This window comes from Homo sapiens, chromosome 2, assembly GCF_000001405.40.
Source record: "Homo sapiens chromosome 2, GRCh38.p14 Primary Assembly".
Classification (NCBI taxonomy): domain Eukaryota; kingdom Metazoa; phylum Chordata; class Mammalia; order Primates; family Hominidae; genus Homo; species Homo sapiens.
The window spans coordinates 9,047,839-9,056,595 of NC_000002.12; positions in this window are offsets into that span (position 1 = coordinate 9,047,839).

The window sequence follows — 8,757 nt, forward strand, 5'->3', positions numbered from 1 at the left end:
AACCAGGCCACACAGCAAGAGGCCACACAGCGCGGGCCAGCGAGCATTACTGCCTGAGCTCCGTCTCCTGTCAGATCAGTGGCAGCCTTAGAGTCTCATAAGAGCACATACCCTACTGTGAACTGTGCATGTGAGGGACCTGGGTTGCGCGTTCCTTATAAGAATCTAACTAATGCCCCGATATGAGGCAGAACAGTTTCATCCCGCAACCATCCCGCAGCCCCTGGAAAAATTATCTTCCATGAAATCGGTCCCTGGTGCCAAAACGGTTGGGGACCACTGCCATAGAGGGATGAGAGATCTCGAGACTAACAGCACAGCAGTCAGAGGAGGGCTGGCCTCAAACTCAAGACTGAGTCTCAGCTCCCACCCTGTCAGTACTCATCAGTTACCTCTCTGAATCTATTTTCTCAACTATGAAATGGGGATAATAACATACATTCTCCCTCACAGGGCATTGCAAAGATAAAGTGAGATGTGAAAATCCATTAAAACTCTGTATGGTATATCCACACAATGGAGCACTATGCAGCTATAAAAAATAAGGAATATATCTGAACTGATATGGAATCATTTCTACGGCATGTTGTTAAGCAAAATAATAATAATAATAAAAGAACAAAGGAGTACATATATTGGTATCTTTTGTGTATGAAAGACATACAGATATAGATGTTAGACATATATATATATATATATATATATATATATATATATATATTAGCTTATTTTTGTGAAAAGAATATCTCTTTGTATAGTATGGACTTCCAGAACCACATTAATGTTTACATACACCAAAATTAAATAAAATTAAATTAAACTATGTCAATAAGATGGAGGAGGGGAAGTCCTAAGATGTAACACAAACAGAAACAAATGAACTCAATGGTATTTAAAATAGAGAGCGTGACTACAGTAAAAGGGAGGGGAACTAACACAAATAACTTTGTTTTTAAAAAATAAACTCACCCTGAGGAACTTTTTAACACAGTATTTCGACTACAAGGAAAAAGCCTATTGCAAGCAAATCTTGAACTGTATTTAAGTAGGGCTTATTTTAGCAGTGTTGTGGGCTAGCAATTCTAAACAACTTGCTATGTATGTAGGAGTGAACAAATGAGTACACGTATTGATGACGTTGAGAAGGAAAATATTAATACATAATGGTAAAAGGCTAAGAAGAGCCTTGCGGTGTTGAATTGGAATTCATGGTTTCTAAATACTGTATAGATATAATTACATTTGTGAATATTTGTGTGTATTCTCTAGTTTTTTCTGCTGAAACGGCCTAGAAACAATGATACCCAAAAGCAATAAACATGCCTAGCACCCAGATGTCAGATTCTATATACTGTTTCCCAGTAAAAAGAAGCAGCACTTCTCCAAAAAAAAAAAAAAAAAAAAGCCAATTATAAGAGTGGGGCAGGGAAAATGTACTATGAGCCTGGAATGCTTTGTTATGCCATAACAAATAAAAAAGTACTCAAAAAAAAAAGGATACATTCAAAGGACATGGGGAACAGCTTGCAGAAGCTCTCACTGATCAAAGTCTGGGGAAACGTGAGCGTCAAGATCAATAATAATAATAATGGATTATAACCCGTTGGGTAAAATAAGAATCCGTTAATCCACACTGATTAAACAAAAATAAGTACACAAGAGAATGGAAGAATGGAAAGATCTTCTAGTATAATTAATAAGTTTAGAGAGAATGCTGAACTTGGTTGCCATTTTGCAACTATCATACCAATAATTGATTTAGGCAAGAATCATCAGTGAGTGCTCAAACTAGTTGTGGGTGTCTCACCACACACCACCACCTTTGAGAAAACACGTACGAGGAGCTACACAATCTAGGGTTCATCGCCTCAACTTGGTAAGGTGGCTACAATTGCGGTTATCCCCATTTTACAGTTTAGGACACTGAAATGTAGAGATGAAGCAACGAAGGCCACATGTTCTGGAGACAGGATTCAAATCGAGTTGACCACAGCCAGAGTTGTCTCTCTTCCCGCGTAGACTAGGGATCCTAGTGACTCCAGCTGCCAGGCAGCCTGGCTCTCTGGTGTCCCAAACTCTAGGGGGAAGAGATGTGTGGGTGAGAGTCCAACCTGTGGGATGGGGACACAGTGTGGCTTTGGGGGCCTGCATCACAAAAGCAGCTAGGCAGAGGCATGAGGTGTGATATGGTTGGGGCCACAGCTGTTCATGTAGGCCGGTGCACAGTTGTCTTATTCTACATCCATCTCTCCTCATTCCAGCTCAAGCCTCTCGCTTTTTCTTTAAAAGTAATGTTCGGGGAGGAGGATGTTACCTGAATTAGCCAGATATTCATCTCATCTCTTCGTTTCTTTTGGCCCACGTAAACACAGACCCAAAGTACTCCAGTCAGCGGAAATCTTGTAGATCTTGCTTGCAAAAGTGGCCGCTAAGACCAGGGCTGAGCCCTTGCATTATCTGTGCATATCAGGGCCTATTTACAAAGGGCCTCCGAGTCAGCTGTTGGATGTTATCTCTGACTAGGTTATATAAATAGCTACGAGATGCACTGACAGGATTAAAAGAAGTTTTCCATCACGCCACTTCTGTTGTTAAGTGCAAACATTTAAAGTCTACTACCATTTTTATAATCATGTTTCCCAACTATAACTATTTAATTAATTTATTTATTTGTGGTACATCAGGAACCTCAAAAAATGGATGTGATTCAGGGACTCTGTCTCTCTCTGGAAAGTCCCTATTTGTATGTGTGTTTCCTGCTTTTGAGTGTGATTCCTTTGAGGTTACATGAGGTCACATGACGGTCAATAGATCTTGTTGAATAAAATAAAGATGCTGTTAATTTCTCAATCAACAGAGCACCAGTTTTATTTTATTTTATTAACTTTTACTTTAGATTCAGGGAGTAAACATGCAGGTTTGTTACATGGGTATGTTGTGTGATGCTGAGGTTTGGACCACGATTGAACTTGTCACCCAGGTAGTGAATATAGTACCCAACCAGTAGTTTTGAAGCCCCTGCCTCCTCTCCCACCCCTCTTACATTCCCCAGTGTCCATGGATCCCATCTTTATGTCCATGTGCACCCAAGGTTTAGCTCCCACTTCTAAGTGAGAACATGTGGTATTTGGTTTTCTGTTTCTGCATTAGTTTGCTTAGGATAATCGCCTCCAGCTTGCATCCATGGTGCTGCAAAGGACGTGATTTTGATCTTTTTTATGACTGCGTAGTATTTCATGGTGTATATGTACCACACTTTATTTATTCAGTCCATCACTGATGGCCACGTGGGTTGATTCCATGTCTTTGCTATTGCAAATCACCAATTTTCTTTTTTCCTGGTTTCGAAATTATCTTATTGCTTTACGTGCTACCTTATTTACCTGAATTTAAACCGGTAGTTTTATTCAGAGACTGCTTATTTAAATGGTATTATAAGTATCGAGTTAAATATCAAAAGCAATTATTAAATATTCTGTTAACAGAATGCTCCTTGTTCCTACTGAGTAGTTTTATGTTTTTCTGTTGGAAAAAAAATTAAAGGAATGTCATCTCAGAGAGTGAAACAATCCATCACAGTAATTAACACAGGAGGGTAGGCACACATGGAATAATCATACCCTGGAGTTCAATGTAGGAGAAGGACAGTGTGGCATTCCAGGTGATGATTGCACACCATAAGGACTACCCATCCCTCTGATGCCACATTAAGTCAACACGTCTGAAATTTCTAAAATATTCAGTATTACAGGATGAAATTTGGACAAATCCATAAGATCTGTGCACTTCTGTATTTATTTATTTATTTATTTATTTATTTATTTATTTATTTTTTGTGATGGAGTCTCACTCTGCCGCCTAGGCTGAAGTGCAGTGGCGCAATCTCAGCTCACTGCAACTTCTGCCTCCCGGGTTCAAGCAATTCTCTGCCTCAGCCTCCCGAGTAGCTGGGATTACAGGTGCCCACCACCATGCCTGGCTAATTCTTGTATTTTTAGTAGAGATGGGGTTTCACCATCTTGGCCAGGCTGGTCTTGAACTCCTGACCTCATGATCCACCCACCTCAGCCTCCCAAAGTGCTGGGATTACAGGGAGCCACGGCGCCCAGCCGCACTTCTATAATTTTAAATGTATTTGCTATCAACTGTCCGCATCCCAGCAACTCCCAAATACTTACATTTTATCGGGTGCTGAGGAGAAATTAAACCAAATTAGATGTGTTTTCACTCTTTCCCCTAAGCTTGAATATATAGACATAGTATCAACAATGTCCCCTTTGTAGCAAATTATTGCTTTTATCTTTTTATTACTAGGCAACAAATTATTTACTTAATTAGGAGGTAAGTTAGAAACCCAAAAAGCATCCTTTTTTTGAGACAGGATCTTGCTCTGTGTCACCATTACGGCTCACTGGAGCTTCGACTGCCCAGGCTCAGGCGATCCTCCCGCCTCAGCCTCCCAAGTACCTGGGACCACAGGCGTGCACCACCACACTCAGCTAATTTCTGTGTTTTTTGTAGAGACGGGGTTTCACCTGGTTACCCAGGCTGGTCTCAAACTCCCCGACTCAAGCAATCCACCCGTCTCAGCCTCCCAAAATGCTGGGATTACAGACGTAAGCCACTGCACCTGGCCCCAAAAGTCACCTTTAAAATAAAAATTTTAGAAGCACTTTTTGAGATCTGTAATATACCAGGTACATTTTTAATGAAAACCTTATGAAGTAAAATTCCCATTTTACAGAAGAGGAAAATGACATTCAGTGAAATTATTTACAGAGTTTTATAGTGAATAAATGACAGAAGTGGCATTTAAACCCAAGTCATTTTGCATTTCCTATGACATTGCCCTTCAGAGCTTTCTCTCACTCCCCACCCCTCCAGATGCCTTCCCAGATGGCAGCATGTTGACAGACATTGCTTCTGTGACTCCCCAGAGTCCCAGAGAGAAAGATGGAGATGACATTATGCATCGGGGGTTCCAGAAGCAGAGTGTGGGAACTATGAAGTATCTTCTCTGTTTCTCTGAAAGTTCTCACCTGGGTTAGAAGCTGATTTTCCTTAGAGCCCGGTTTGCTTCCTGGTATGCAGTGAGCTTAGTTGGGCTGATGTTGTCTGTAGGTGAGGCCTCCCACTGGTGGGGTAAGTTTATTTCAGAGGAATGATAGCATTTCCTCTTGCCACAAACCTAGGTCACACCCTCATTCTGGTTTTTTGCAGCATTCAAGTTGTTATCTCCATCAGGCTGGGTTCTGTGTCTGTATCTCAGCTGAACTCAAATTCTAGAAGAAAGCATATTCTGGAGCAAGCTGTGTATCTATCCCCTCTAAAGTATCAACAGGTGTGGGGCTTTGCTGGTTTCACAGAACACGTGCAACTGAAGACTGGACTCTTGAATGCTCTCCCTCTCTGTCAGCTCAGTACTTTCTCACCATCGGTCACCTGAAGACCAAGTTCCAAACACTCTGGGCTCTGCACAAGGCTCCATGTGACCTGTTTGTGCCGCAGTCAGCTATGAGGCCTGCAAGGGCGGATCCCTTTGTGTATCCGTGTTGCCAGTACCTGGCACTTGCAATGTGCTCAATAAACATGGATTTAGTGAATGAGTGTAAGGGTTAGCTTCACTTCTCAGAGCAAAAGGGGAATCTCCTATTTGGGTGTAATTTTTGCAAGTGACCTGGCAGCAGTAGTGAATGAGAAAGTGTTTCTGCTTCTCCTTTAGAACACAAGCAAAACATGTGGTTTCTGAGCCCATGGATCTTATAATTTTATTCATACACAGAAAAAAAGCAATAATGATTCATGAATGTGTAGGACAAATGCCAAATAAATTGGACAAACAGGAAAGGCCACAGATAATCCAAAGAAGAGTAATCACTGTGAAGGAGAGTTTTGAAATAAGTGGGTTTTGAAAGACAGCTGGGGTTTAAAAAGGGAACAAACAGTGAAGGTAAGACTGAAATGCGCAAAGCTGTGGTTGGTAGGGGAATGAGCCGGGTGGGTTTACAAATACAGAGGCCAGCAGGCTGGTCAGAGAAAGGTTTTAATTAAGAAGCAATAAGGAATAAGGTTCAGAAAGTGAATAAAGGCTGGGTTAGATAGAGCTCTGAACAGTTCTTAGGAGTCTAAACTTGGTTTTACAAGAAATGAGCATGCATGTTAGGATTATTTGGCTACATATAATAAACTCAAGCTAGCTTAAAAGGGAAAAGAAATTTTTTTAGAGAACTTGGAATATCTTTCACATAATAATTCCCTTATAAATAGTTGTTATATTGAATTAAACTCTTAGAATAACCCTCCTTTAAAATGTATGGAAAAATAAAGAGAAGAACAAAAGAAATGATGCAGAAAAAGAGGTTGGTTGCAACAATATTTATTAAACAGCCTTGAGTGCAGTAAAAGAAAAATTGAGATCATCCTAATTCAACAGTCTTTTGTCTCAGTCCTCATTCCTTGGGGTACCTTGATCAGTGCCAAAGGCATGTTTGTGATTGGGAGAAGAACTGGGTCTTCATGTCTGTGTTCTCTCTGTGCTCCTGCAACCAAGGACAAAGAGTTTCCTACTGAAGGAAAACATTTTCCCAGGAGCAGCTTTTTCATTTTCCTCTCCACTATGTTTTATTGTCAGCACACAAAATACCTTCATTGTGTCTTATTCTGCACAAAGCAGGACAAAGTCAGGCAATGTTATTACTTTTAAAAACCAAGGGAGCCAACAATACACTATATGATGGATAGTCATCGTTTTTATAGTGAATTTTCTTCAGTTGTACATCTCAATCTTATTTTGAGAATTAATTCAGAGGGTGAACTCCACTCAGTCTGTGAATATTAGAATAAGCAGCTGTAAAAGCATAAAATGTTTAAAAAGCTGGGGGTATAAGTCAGACAAAACCAACATTACTTTATTTGTTCAAAGAAGATACAAAAAAAAAACATTAAAAGGGACATGGAGATTAGAGAGAGAAGCAGTTTGGGAAACATGAATGAGCAAATTTTCTCACATTTTTTCCACTAAAAAACAATCATGAACTTGCATAATTTTATGGGAAGAAAAAATGGAACATTGAGCTGCAATGACTTATTTCAATTTAATTTACACTATTCTAATTTTACTTCCAATCCTTTCATGTACATCTATAAAATCTACATTATCATATATAAGGGACACCTAAGATGTTGTCTTCTGGTTTTTTTTTTCATTTTTAAATTTTATATAACCATGTCTATCTTTGACATTAGTTAGCACATTTGTCATTTTAATGTCCCCATAACATCCTTAGGATGGTGACATAACCCCTATGTACTTGGGAGTTGGAAGGTGAGTTCGGAGGATTTAATAGTTACAAGGCTTTTCCCCAACTGTAAATTGACTTGGTGTATGTACAAGTTCAGCAAAGTAAAGCACTGTAAAGGAATAGCCAGTAAAGTCCTTACATGAAAGATTGTTATGAGTATTTTCAGTAAAGTCATAGTATCTTCTGCTTGTAAGTTGTTTTTCACCATAAAAAAAAAAAAACCTATGGGGACAAGACAATAATTCATTAAATAGTGCTGGAAGAAACAGAGTGAAGAAACATGTGTGCCAATTGTTGGGTTATTATCCATTAGCTTGAAATTCAGGCTTTTACATTCTGCTTTGTGATACTGGGGCTCAAACTCTGCAAACGACATTTCTGCTTTGCCAACAGCTCCATGTTTGACTCCATCAATAGGGGTACCAGCGGAAGTTTATAAATCTGGAAGGAAAGAAGGGATTTATTTCTTCCAACTTGCTTCCTGTGACTTCCTGTCTACTTCCTGTCTACTTCCCGTGTGACTTCCTGTCTACTTCCTATATGACTTCCTTTCTACTTCCTGTGTGACTTACTGTCAGCTTTCTGTTCCTGTGAATGTTATCCCAAAGATACTTCCTCACCCTAACAGCAGTAGTTCCTTCCGGAAGTATCTTGATCCAGTTTGCAATTTTTCCAATGCCTGCAGAACCAGCTCTATTGTCTCTTCTCATCCCCTAGTCAAAGCTCAAAGATCCCAGCTCCAGCTGAGCAGCGCTCCTTCCTCAGAGGTCTGGATTTCCATTTGTCATTTTTCTTGGCTTCATTATTTTTTCTTCTTACCTGCCTTCTGTTAAAATAAGTTTTTAATAATTCCGTTATTGGCTGGGCATGGTGGCTCATGCCTGTAATCCCAGCACTTTGGGAGGCCAAGACAGGCAGATCACCTGAGGTCGAGAGTTGGAGACCAGCCTGACCAACATGGAGAGACCCCATCTCTACTAAAAATACAAAATTAGCCGGGTGTGGTGGCACATGCCTGTAATCCCAGCTACTCAGGAGGCTAAGGCAGGAGAATTGCTTGAACCCAGGAGGCAGAGGTTGAGGTGAGCCGAGATCATGCCATTGCACTCCAGCCTGGGCAATAAGAGCAAAACTCTGTCTCAAAAAAAAAAAAAATCCATTATCTTTTTTTCTACTGGTATTGATGTCAATTGCATTTCTATTCTGTTAGTGATTGTGCTTACTTTTTGACGTAAATATTTAACTATGAATTTCTCTAATACAGTGTACAGTTATTTCAAAATTTTAACCCTGCATTCACTTTGTCATTGTTTTTCTACTTTTTTACAAAAAAATAGTAATCACTATCTTTCCAAGTTATTTAAATTTATTAAAAATTTATCACTTTCACCGAGGTGGGAAGATCACTTGAGCTCAGGAGTTCAAGACCAGCCTGGGCAACATGGTGAAACTCTGT